We start from the raw sequence: 13,159 nt of genomic DNA, 5'->3' as shown, positions 1-13,159 counted from the left end.
TAGAGTGCAGTGGTGCGATCTCGGCTCACTGCAACCTCTCCTCCTGGGTTCAAGCGATTCTCTTGACTCAGCCTCCTGAGTAGCTGGGATTACAGGTGCCCGCCACCATGCCCAGCTAATGTTTGTATTTTTAGGAGAGACACGATTTCACCATGTTGGCTAGGCTGGCTTCAAACTCCTGACCTCAAGTGATCTATCCACCTAGGCCTCCCAAAGTGCTGGGATTACAGGTGTGAACCACTGCGCCCAGCCTCCTTAACCCTTTCAATGCCAGGGTCCCTTTGGCAGTCTGGAGAAGTCAGAGGACCCCTTCTCAGAGCAATGCTTTAATGCATAATACACATCGTTTTTAAAAGGAAACAATTTATAATAATAAAGCCACAGTACTACTCCTGACACTTCCTGTCTTCTTCCCCTGCTTAGTTTTTTCTACCCAGCATTTGTCCCTACTGAATTCACTATATACTGCCCTTTATTTGTGTTATCTTATTTAGTATATGTCTCCCCAACTAGAATCTGAGTTGTTTTTTTTTTTGTTTTTGAGATGGAGTCTCACTTGGTCACCCAGGCTGGAGTGCAGTTGCACGATCTTAGCTCACTGCAAACTCCACCTCCCAGGCTCAAGTGATCCTCTCACCCCAGTCTTATGAGTAGCTGGGACCACAGACACACACCACCACGCCTGGCTAATATCTTGTATTTTTGGTAGAGATGTGATTTCAACATGTTGCCCAGGCTGGTCTTGAACTCCTGAGCTCAAGTAATCCACCTGCCTCAGCCAAAGTGCTGGGATTACAGGCGTGAGCCACTGTGCCCAGCTAGAATCTAAGTTCTATGAAGGCAGAGATGTTCATCTATTTTGTTCACCACTCTATTTCCAAAAAGCTAGAAAACTGCCTGGTATAGAATAGTTGCTCGTAAGCATTTGTGGGATTATTAAATGAACTTTATGTCTCATAAGAGCTGTTTTCTAGCATTAATCAAAGGCAGTTCTTCTAGGTTCTCACAACCTTAGGAAAGATAATATGTAATACTTCGTATTTACAAACAGCTTTTGGTGAGCACTGGAACCCTTTTGTAGACAGTCTCATTCAACCACAGTAGACCTAATATCTAACGACTGAGGGCAAAGAAGGGATGTGAGATGAGCAGTCAAATGCTTTCAGGCCAGAGAACAAAATAGATGACCCAGGCCCCTGCTTATTCGCTCTGCCCTTTGCCCCTGGAGCTTTAGCTGCTTTGCTTAGAGGACAGTCTCTCCCTCACTGAAGATACCTAATTGCACATTAGCAATAGGAAGGTTTCACTGGACCCAACCAGACTCATTCATAACAAATAGCGACACATTCCTTTGCAACAAGGTTCTAGGATTTCCAACTTCTTGCCAAGGCAATTCTTAAATAGAGGAAATGGCTTTCTTTTCAAATTCATCTTAATCACAATAAGTTAAAAGGTTAACAAGAATTTAAAACCCTCAGATATGACAGCTGCCTATATTATTTGTCTAAGAGGAAGAAAGCTTAAAGTCAAGATAACTGAAACCGCCAGAGAACAAAATAATCTCTAACAACTGCAACGCCTTCGTGCTTTAAGCGTACTTGTAACAAATTGAAAAGGAAAACCAGAAACCAAAAAAAGAAGGGGAGGAGGGAAGGTGAGGTTAATACCGAGGTCAGCTAATACGAAAGAAAAACAGGGTCTCAGGCTGTCTCATAACTAAACATGCAGGCAAAACCTAACAGGAAGGCAATTTTGGTCCTTCTTGGGTAGCTAAGACAAATGTCAGCCTGCTCTGCAGTCCCACTATTTGCTGAAAAGCAGGGCTGAAGAAATATACTTACCTCATGTGGGGTTTTGAAAGATTCAAATCCATCTACCTGAAATATAACTAATTCTGCTTAAACATCAGAATTTTCCATATTTGTGCATCTCCATATACAGGGCAAGGAGATGGAAAGACAGGTTTCTTGCTTGTTTTAAATATTTTGAGTGCTAATAAACCAGCAACTGCTGGTCACCAGTAGAGGCTGGTAGAAAGTTCCACAGAAATTAGTGTATTAGCAGGATTTCAAACTGAAAAAGGGAGAGAGAAAAAACATTTTTCACAAATGCTTGGCTCCAGCTCCATGGGAAAACATTAATTTAAAGCACTCATTATAACCAACTGCTGATCATGTTACAACCAAAGGTCACTGTTCTAGTTTTTTTTTTTTTTTTTTTTTGAGATAGGGTCTCGCTCTATTACCTGGGCTGGAGTGCAGTGGCACAATCACAGCTCACTGCAGCCTTGACCTCCCAGGCTCAAGCAATCCTCCCACCGCAGCCTCCCAAGTAGCTGGGACCACAGCCATGAGCCAGCATGCCCGGCTAATTTTTGTATTTTTTTTTTGTAGAGATGGGGTCTCCCTATGTTACCCAGGCTGGTCTCTGACTCCTGGGTGCAAATGATCCTCCCACCTCAGCCTACTAAAGTGCTGGGATTACAAGTGTGAGCCACCACACCTGGCTTATGGTTCTAGTTCTAATCCTTAGAGATGTATGCTTCTTTTGAATGAGGTATACAAACTGTAAGAAAATTATGTAACCACTTATAGTGCTTTTGGTTTATAATCATACCTAAAAAGAAAGCCCTGAAGACACAATGCTAATGAAGTCCGCAGTCACAGAGAACTTACATTCAACTTTTTCTTCTGAAACAAAGTTTTCAGTGTAGTTCTAACATTACAGTATCAGTGAGGCACTTCCCACCCTAATAAGCTTTTTTAAAAGCTAGAATAATTATATAACTAAATAAGAAATGAAAGACCCTAAAAACACAAATTATTTGCATTTTCTAAATTCATTTTTTGACTATTAGAGTGAAAATTAGAAATAAATGTCCATTTAGTAGGATTAGTTAAATAAACTGTGTTTTCTCTATTCTATGGCATACTAAGCAGCCATTAAAAAGTATGAGATAGGCCTGTAAGTACAAAAACAGAAAAATCCCCAAGGTACTTTTTTTTTTTTTTTTGAGGCGGAGTCTTGCTCTGTCGCCCAGGCTGGAGTGCAGTGGTGGGATCTCAGCTCACTGCAACCTCTGCCTCCTGGGTTCATGCCATTTCCCTGCCTCAGCCTCCCGAGTAGCTGTGACTATAGGCGTCCGCCACTACTCCCGGCTAATTTTTTGTATTTTTAGTAGAGACGGGGTTTCACCGTGTTAGCCAGGATGGTCTCGATCTCTTGACCTTGTGATCCGCCCGCCTCGGCCTCCCAAAGTGCTGGGATTACAGGCGTGAGACACCGCACCCAGCCCCCAAGATACGTTTTTATGTGAAAAAAAAACAAGCTGAACAACTCATAGTGATTCTGCTTACGTAAACAATGTCTATGTATCTGTACACATGTCCTATGTCAATGCTTAGGAAAAGATCTGGAAGAATGTCTGCCGAACTCTTAATCGTATTTTTGTCTGGGGAGGTGGAGAGATGCAAAAGAGCTTCAGTGGCACTTTCACATCATACCCTATGTGTTTGCTTGAGTACTTTATGAGGCTGTGGTCATATATCACTTGCAAAATAATGTATTAATAAAGGAAGAAAGGACTGGGTGATTCTGTGAACTAAAGGGAGGAAAAATAAAAGATGAAAATTAGACTTGATACTAAATAAAGTATATTAATGTCAGAGCAAGAGTTTGATCACGAGACAGTCAACTATTCATCAAATCTCTATACAGCTTTCAGTTCAGCTGCTGTATTAACAGGAACAGGAGGAATCCTAAACATAAAGACTACAACTTCTGAAGAGGAAGTCTGATCAAAGTATACAAGTCATCATACCGAAAGGAACTGAGAGTTTAAAATATACTCTTATGTCTTCTTGTCAAACTACATGTGCTGCAAACATTTTTTTTCCTTGCTTGTTACGTTGTAAAAGTATCTGTTTGGAGATACTTAGTCTTTGAGGTGGAGACCCAACTAGCCTTGATGGTAAGTAAGTTCCAATAGCATATCTGAAGATAACCAATAACCCTGCAATTAGAAAGATGTTTTGCCAACTAGAGATTGAGGACAAGAGACCCAAAGGATGTTGGAACTGATTCAGAAACAGGAATGTAAGTACGTCTGGGATGAGTCAGCAGGTAGCTAGGAGAACTGGAAATTAAAAGAAAAGTCATCTGCCCAAGAAGTGGGTAGGTAAACAAAAGAAATCCAAAGTACATTTAAATGTCAGACACCAGTTCAACTTTGAGAAATAGTTTATATACAATAAAGTGGACTGATTTAATTGTACATTTTGATAAGTTCTGACAAATTTATACCTGTGTAATCACCACCATATTTAAGATACAGAACATTTCCATTACCCTAAAAGTTCTGTGTTCCATCCCAGTCAACCCTCTCCCATCCTGGGTTCTGGTTAGCCACTTTTCTCTTACTATAAATTAAATGCCCTTCCTAGAATTTCATATCAATGGAATCCTAAGTATGTGCTCTTCTGTGTAAGGCTTCCTTTCATGCAGCATAATGCTTTCAAGATTCATCCATATTCCACCATGTATCATTCTTTTTATAGCCAAATCATAGCCACAGTTTATTCATTCATGTGTTGATGGGCATTTGGGTTCTTTCCAGCTTTTGTTATTATGAACAAATCTGCTATGAATAAGCAAGGCACCAGAGGCTTTTGATAACTTTCATTTCCCCATTCAGCACTGTCCATGTACTCTCAGTTCACTACAACTCGACCCCTGGCACTGGCCCATGCACAACGGGAAAAGCAGTCACTTATTCAACAAATAGATATAAAGGGTCTACTGGATGTCAGGAACTGTTCAGGCACTGAGAACTCAGTCATGAACGAGACAGATATAACCCCTCTCCTGTAAAACACACAAACAAAATCATGTCGGATAAGGTATGTAATAGAAAAAAAGTTTAAAGTAAAATATTAAGAAAGCAACGAGAGGCATGTGACTAACTGCGCAGCGAGGGAAGGCCTGTCTGCGCTGAGTGAGACCTGAATGACACCAACGGGACAGCCATGTAACCTTCTGACATCCAAGCATTTCCAAGAACTGCAAGCACAAAGGCCCTAAGGAGAGACTGAGCCTCTCCTATCCAAGCAGCAGCAGAAGGCAGGCCATGTGGCAGGCATGCAGCAAACTAGGCGAAGAGGGTAAGAAACAGGCTGGAGAGCAGGCAGAGGCCAAGCCAAACAGGATCTTGTAGGCCAGGAGAAGAAGTCTGGGTTTTACTGGAGGGGATTAGGCAGGTGAGTGCAACAATCAGATCTGCATTTCAAAGAGACCACTCTGCCGGCAGTGTAGAGAAGAACTGCACAGGCAGTGAAACAGATCAGTCTGGTGGCTACTGCGTGATGCAGGTGAGACAGGGTGGTGTGAACGACAGGAGAGCAAGGGAACCACGGGGGATGGGAAGGGTTCAGAATCAATAGCTCCTGCTGAGGGACTACATGAGGCAGGCATTATAAAGAAGAATCTGAGCTGGGTGCAGTGGCTCACACCTGTAATTCCAGCACTTTGAGAGGCCAAGGCAGGCGGATCACTTGAGGCCAGGAGTTCAAGACCAGCCTGGCCAACATGGTGAAACCCCATCTCTATAATACAAAAATTAGCTGGGCGTGGTGGCGCATGCCTGTGATCCCAGCACCTAGGGAGGCTGAGGCAGGAGAATCACTTGAACCCGGGAGGTGGAGGTTGCAGTGAGCAGAGATCACGCTACTGCACTCCAGCCTGAGCAGAGTGAGTGAGTCAAAAACAAAAAACAAAACAAAACAAAAAAAAGAATAATAATCTGGGATAATTCCTAGGTTTCTGGCTTAGGCAGCTAGGTGGATAATATAGTTGACTGAGGTGGGGACAATTAGAGGAAAAACAGGTTTGGCGTTGTGGAGAGAATCAAGAGTTAGGTCCTTGTATTAAATTTGTGATGCTGATCCAATATCCAAATGCAGATGTCAAATAGGCACTTGGATACATAAGTCTGGAGTTAAGAAGAAAAGTCAGTGCCACGTGTCTGATATTAGGAAATAGTACCTGAAGCTAAGAAGTGGATTATAGAGACAGTTCTGCTTTTAAAACTAGTACAGTCATGCACCGCAGAACAACATGCAGTCAACAATAAACCACATATACAACAGGGGTCCCATAAGATTATAATGGAGTTGTTCTATACAGATGCAACATTTTTTATACTGTATTTTTACTGTACCTTTTCTATGTTTAGATCCACAAATACCACTGTGTTACAATTGCCTAAAGTTGAATCAGTGCTGTACAGGTTTGTAGCTTAGGAGCAACAGGCCATACCACACAGCCTAGGTGCGTAGTGGGCTATGCCATCTGGGTTTGTGTAAGTACACTCAATGATGACATGTTTCTCAGAACACATTCTCATCCTTAAGTGACACATGACCCTGTATATATACCTCTAGCAGCGTACCAGGATAATACCAGATAAATAGGTCAAGTGACTCCGAGATCAATTTTACTTAGACTTGGGAGGGTTGGTAGGGAAGAAAGTTTTGTAGCTGAACACACGTATAAAGAGTAAAATGTTGGCTGGGTGCTACGGCTCATGCCTGTAACGCCAGCACCTTGGGAGGCTGAGGCGGGAGGATCACTTGAGGTCAGGAGTTCATGACCAGCCTGGCCAACATGGCAAAACCCCGTCTCTACTAAAATACAAAAATTAGCTGGGCATGGTGGTGCACACCTGGAGTCTCAGGTACTCAGGAGGTGGGAGGATCACTTGAACCCAGGAGGCAGAGGCTGTAGTAGTGAGCCGAGATCGCATCACTGCACTCCGGCCTGGGCAACCAGAGTGAGACCCTTTCTCAAAACAAAACAAACAAAAAAAAACTACAGGAAAGAGAAGGATCATTTCTATCAGACTTTAGAGTTTTTTGTGGAATATGCTATGAAGACAAGACATGCCATTAAAATCAAGAGGCATTTAGCTAGACGCAGGTGCCTGTGGTCCCAGCTACTCGAGAAGCTGAGGCAGGAGGATCCCTTGAGCCCAGGAGGGCGAGGCTGCAGTGAGCTATGATCATGCCTGTGAAAGCCACCATACTCCAGCCTCGGTGACACAGTGAGAACTTGTCTATATATGTATAAAAAAAATTTTTTTTTTTAAATCAGGAGACATTTGATATGAGTGTTGGTAGTTTATCAAAGGGTCATGAAGCAATCAGGCATGTAATAAGTACTTTTTAATTATTTCAATTCCATGAATCATCAATGAGACTAAGGTAAGATATAACTACTCCCTCAATCTCAATGCTTTCAGAGAAGTCAATTATACTCTCATAAACATATCTGAGCACAGGCACCAGATCCGTTTAAAGTAAATGGCAACCAAGACAAACTTAATTTAATGTTATGTGTGTCCCGTTGAGAGGGGAAAAAGAAATACTGGCATACTATGTAAGGAAGTCTCTGGAGCTATAACTTATCAAATCACTTGTGCCGTTTATATCTTAAGAACTTCACAAAATACTGCATCAGTAACTGTAATTTCATAAACAGAGTATTAATGCTGGCTGACAACCTCCCTTATCACTTATTAATGGCAAACAGTAGGCTCTAACAGGAACAGCTTTCACTTAACACCAGGAATTGCCTTTGTAGAAAGCGAGGAGATGAGGAGAGAGAACTAAAGGTTCAACTCAAACTTACTAAGGAAAAGAAATCAGAAACAAATCAAAATCAATTTTTACTTCATCATCAATAGAGTATGAACAGAAAAGTCACTGGCTGTTGAAACAACACAGCAGAAAATGTGGAAGATAAAGGCTGGGGAGAGAGGCTGGAGTAACTGTAGCAAAAGAACCAAAGCCAGGTGAAGATGAAGAAAAAGGGCTTAGGTTAGAGTGTGAAGGAACTACCTTCTTGTTACTATAAAGATGGGTGATGACAATAATGATGGTGACATGACTCATATGCTGTTGTGTGGTAAACTATGCACACACTTCTTCACAGACCTGAAAGACCATATGCGACCTTCTCTTTTTCTTTTACTTTTTGTTAAAATAGAGATGGGGTCTCACTATGTTGCCCATGCTGGTCTCAAACTCCTTGGCTCAAGTGATCCACCTCAGCCTCTCAAAGTACTGGGATTACATGCGTGAGCCACCACGCCTGGCCATATGCGACCTTCTCAATGAAACTTTTCCTGACACATCCATCCATCCCCAGGTACTCACCACCCTTCTCTGAAACTGGCTCTGTCTCCTCTACTGGTGGAGGGTACGGGATATCCCCTGCAGCTGGCATAAAACTTGGCACATAGTTTTGTCTTCAATAAATGCTAGTTTAAAAAGTGAACGAAGGCCATAGTGTCTGTGTGAGATATTGCACCTGAAGCATAAGGTTATTTGTTCCAGTCAAAGAGGTATCACTTGCTATGGACTGAGTTGTGTCATCCTAAAATTCTTAGTTTTGTTTTGTTTTTAGAGACAGGGTCTTGCTGCTCTGTCATCCAGGCTGGAGTACAGTGGCACAAACATAGCTCATTGCAGCCCTGAACTCTTGGGCTCAAGCAATTCTCCTACCTCAGCCCCAAGTAGCTAGGACTACAGACACATCAGCACACCCAGCTAACTCATTCATTCTTTCTTTCTTTCTCTTTCTCTCTCTTCTCTCTTTCTCTCTTTCTTTTTGAGACAAGGCCTCTCTCTGTCACTCAGGCTAGAGTGCAGTGGCACAATCATGGCTCACTGCAGCCTCAATTACCCAGGCTCTAGTGATCCTCCCACTTCAGCCTCCCAAGTAGCTTGGACTACAGGTACATACCACCCTGTCTGGTTAATTTTCTTTTTTTCTTTGTAGAGATAAGATCTTAATACTCAGGCTGCCAGCTTTTGTAGAGACAGGGGGTCTTGCTATGATGCCCAGGCTGGTTTCAAACTCCTGGGCTCAAGCGATCCTCCCACTTTGGCCTCTCAAAGCTCTGAGATTGCAGGTGTGGGCTGCCATACCTGGCCCTAAATTCCTATACTGGAGCCCTAATCCCTAAAGTGACTGCATTTGGAGATAGTGCCCTAAGGATGTAATATGGTTAAATGAGGTCAGAAGGGTGGGGCCCTAATCTGATAGGGCTGGCATCCTTATTAAAGGAAGACACAAGGGCTTACATATGCTCTCTGTGCACAGAGGAAAGGCCACATGAAGACACACCTAGAATGTGCCCGTCTGCAGCCAAGAAGAAAGGCCTCACCAGAAACCAACCCCTACTGGCACCTTAATCTTGGACTTCCAGTCTCCAGAACTGTGAGAAAATGTTTGCTTTTTAAGCCACTCATTCTATGGTATTTTGTTATGGTAGCCCATGCAGACTAACACAACACTCAAACTAGAAAATGAGCCTTGCTGGGTTCTCTTGGCCTTGTTGGCAGCTGTCATGATGTACAAAAGGGAGCTCCTTAGTAACAGATTATGAGATGGTGCCACATGCAGGGCATCAAGGCAAGGTCAGGACTAGTCCTATGAAGCTGGAATTAGATTTCTCCTAAGTGGGTAGATTAGGATGGGGCCTGCAAAATATGAGAACAAGCTAGATATGGCAGCTCCAAGAGTGAAACACTGTTAAGCCAGACTGTTGTAATACTTGTTGCATTCTCTATGCTGGTTTCTCTATTGTTCTTAGTACTCAAAACACTTCCTTGAACTCTCCAGCCTATCTCAGTTATGCTAAGAAAGAATCAAGAGAAGATGTTTTTGTCCTTGTTCATTAAAGGGGGAACAGAGCATCCCTGGCCAACGTGGTATAGTGGTAACAATCATATAAGTAAAAGAATTCCAAGCAGAGGGTGAAACTCAGTGTCCCAGCCATTTCATTCATTCAACAAATATTTACCAAGCACTTACTATGTGGTTGACCCTAATCTAACCACTGGGGATAGAACAGTGAACAAAATCAGTACAAATCATGGCCCTCATGGAGCTTTCATTCTACCTGGAAACAGGGAGACAGTAAACAATCAGCATAGTATACAGGAAAAGGATATAGTGTGTTAGCAGTTGACAAGTGCTATGGAGAAAGGGAAGCAGGAATAATGTGGGGGGAGGGGAGCACAGGACAGGCCTCACTGGGATGGATGACACATGAGCAAACACTTTGAGGAGGAGTGAAAATGAACCATGACTCTATGTGGCAGAGGCAGTGCAGAGACCAAGGCAGATCATAATTGACATTTTCAGGAAAGAGCAAAGAAGCCTGCGTGGCTGCAAGGGAGTGACCTGGGAGGAAGTAGTAGGTGGTCAGACTGGGGGAGGGTGCTGTCCGCAGGGAGTCATTTCATGTAGACTCACAGACCACTGAATGGCATTTGAATGAAATGAGAACAGGTACTTCATGTCTTCCCAACTGCTAAACCTGGGAGGTAATATTCCCTTAAGGAGTAGGCTTCTCAAAGGGTAAAATCTTTAGTACTTTGTTTTGTGCTGCAGAATTCCTGCCCGGGGCAAGAATGCTCACATGAAGCCCAGAGGCAATGGCTTGAACACCAACTGTAGATATCCTGGAAAGGTAGTTTGGTAGAAGAAACACAAAAACCTATTTAGCAGCAAACTCACCACACAACCTTCGGAAAGGTATAAAGAACCAGTTTTGCATGTGGAGAAACTAAGGTACAAAGACAAGATTTATCTTTTTTTTTTTTCTCTGAGACAGGGTCTCGCTTTGTCATCCAGGTTGCATGCAGTGCAGTGGTGTGATCCTGGCTTACTGCAGCCTCAACCTCTTGGGCTCAAGCGATCCTCCCACCTCAGCCTACCTCTTCACCTCCACCCAGTAGCTGGGATTACAGGCATGCACCACCACGCCTGGCTAATTTTTTTATATTTTTTTTTATTTTTTGAGATGGAGTCTCATTCTGTCACCCAGGCTGGAGTGCAGTGGCACGATCTCAGCTCACTGCAACCTCCCCGGGTTCAAGTGATTCTCATGTCTCAGCCTTCCAGGTAGCTGGGATTACAGGTACGTGTCACCACGCCCGGCTAATTTTTGTATTTTTAGTAGAAATGGGGTTTCACCATGTTGGCCAGGTTGGTCTTGAACTCCTGGCCTCAAGTGATCTGCCCACCTCAGCCTCCCAAAGTGCTGCGATTACAGGCGTGAGCCACTGCACTCGGCCATTTTTGTATTTTTTATTTTTCATTTTTTGTAGGTTCTCCCTCTGTCGCCCAGGTTGGTCTTGAACTCCTGGGCTCATGTGCTCCTTCCGCCTCAGCCTCCCAAAGTGCTGGGATTACAGGTGTGAGCCACAGCGGTGGGCCTCAGCTACATTTTTAAAGGCAGGCTGAAAGTGAAATGAGAAGAAAACCAAATGACTACTTCAAATGACTTGCATCTTCTAGAAAATGCTGCCTCTTTACATGACACTGTGGAAAAGCTAGCCAGAATAAGAGGAAAGGAGGAATGACGCTTTGAGAAAACCCAAACATTAGACATTCTCACCCAGGCCACTCCTTTCTACCCTGCCTGTATGGGTTTCATCTCAAATAAAAAGGCTTTTATCTAAATGTAAGCTTGTAAACCCAATTCAGGTTCCAGCCAAGGATGCTTATAGGCATACTCCTCCCAGAAAGTATACTGTAGCTGTGTATCTCAGGATAAAGTGGAATATCTATCCATAAAGCCTATTCTCATTACCAATGCTGAGATTCAACACCATCTCTAATTTCTGATTATTGTGTTATTTGTGATCCACATTAAAGATTCTATTTCTGTACATAGTGCAGGGAAGGGCATGGAAAGTTTATACATATTTAAAATCATTTCTGAAAAGATGAGTAAGCAATAGTATTAAAGAAAATTTTGGAGAGAAAAACCACCAAAAATTCCACTGTCTTAAAATGATTTCATTTTCACATTATCTTCCAGTCTTTGTCCATATTCATTCATATTTTAGGGAGGCAGTGTGCCTACGATTTTGACCTACCATAAACATTTCTCCTCATTTCTATAGTTATCATAATTACCAGTTTGTTTGTTTGTTTTGAAACAGAGTTTCACTCTTGTTGCCCAGGATGGAGTGCAATGGCGCAGTCTCAGCTCACTGCAACCTCTGCCTCCCCGGTTCAAGCGATTTTCCCTCCTCAGCCTCTGGAGTAGCTGGGATTATGGGCATGCACCACCTCGCCTGGCTAATTTTGTATTTTTAGTAGAGATGGGGTTTCTCCATGTTGGTAAGGCTGATCTCAAACTCCCTACCTCAGGTGATCTGCCCGCCTCGGCCTCCCAAAGTGTTGGGATTACAGGAGTGAGCCACCGTGCCCAGCCCATAATTACTAGTTTTAACTGCTGCTTAATACTCCATTGTACTAATGAAACAATTTTCTGAACTTTTGGGAAAAATTATAACAGATTTACATAGTAACATAATTGCCACCTACAAATATATCATCCTTGTTCCCCCAAGAAACTCCAAATGTGTGTAATACAGAAGAGAAGCAAAAAGACTAAAATATTTGCTTACTTATTCAACAATTACTTACTGAATGCCTACTAAATGTCTGGCACTGATCCAGGCCCTGCCAATAGAGTAGTGAGGAAAAGACAAAAACCTCTGATTTCACAGAGCTTAGTTCACAATATAAAATCAAATAATAAACAGAGGCAGAAAGATTCTTAGACTTACTTTCTCAGGCTATAAAATGAATGATAAAGACAGAGCAAAACAAAATCCACTGTTTCTGACTCCTGTATACCCCTGTATATCACAAAGACATGGCTGTTTCTAATCCATATACTCTACTCAACTCCTCTGAGAGCAAGCACTAAATCCAGGGCCCAGTTTCTTCTAGATCAGAGGTTGGCAAACTTTTTCTATAAAGGGCCAGATAGTAGTAAGTATTTGGGGTTTTACAGTTCATAGAGTCTCTGCTGCAACTGCTTGACTCTGCCCATTGTGGGGTTCATGAAAGCAGCCATACACAACAATACATCAACAAATGGGTGTGGTTGTATTCCAGTAAAACTTTATTTACAAACACAGACTGAGAACAGGATTTGGGCTACAAACCATGGTTTGTCAACCCTGTTCTATAGGGTTCAAAATGACTACTATTAACCAGAAATAGAAGGAAGACACACGTGCTGTCCTCAACTGGAAAATTCCATTAAGTTTACCTCTGCCGTGACTGACATTTG

General features: G+C 42.6%; 1 protein-coding gene across 3 annotated transcripts in view, besides 2 other annotated features; it reads right to left on the bottom strand.

Annotated features, from left to right (window-relative positions):
* PACS1 (phosphofurin acidic cluster sorting protein 1) overlaps positions 1–13,159 on the bottom strand; it is a 174,473-nt gene that overhangs the window by 127,314 nt on the left and 34,000 nt on the right. The gene's annotated exons all lie outside the window — the stretch shown is intronic.
* Positions 4,012–4,101: an enhancer, noted in NCBI's record as "active region_5034". NCBI's record gives its function as "activates an Ori minimal core promoter by ATAC-STARR-seq in GM12878 lymphoblastoid cells {active_cell/tissue: GM12878}" and the evidence as "EXISTENCE:reporter gene assay evidence [ECO:0000049][PMID:35858748]".
* Positions 9,628–10,471: an enhancer, noted in NCBI's record as "H3K27ac-H3K4me1 hESC enhancer chr11:65874431-65875274 (GRCh37/hg19 assembly coordinates)". NCBI's record gives its function as "activates a minimal SCP1, AML or CMV promoter by ChIP-STARR-seq in naive H9 embryonic stem cells {active_cell/tissue: H9 hESC(naive)}" and the evidence as "EXISTENCE:reporter gene assay evidence [ECO:0000049][PMID:30033119]".

Source organism: Homo sapiens, chromosome 11 (genome assembly GCF_000001405.40).
Source record: "Homo sapiens chromosome 11, GRCh38.p14 Primary Assembly".
In the NCBI taxonomy this organism is placed as follows: Eukaryota; Metazoa; Chordata; class Mammalia; order Primates; family Hominidae; genus Homo; species Homo sapiens.
This window is presented reverse-complemented; position numbering and strand designations above follow the sequence as displayed.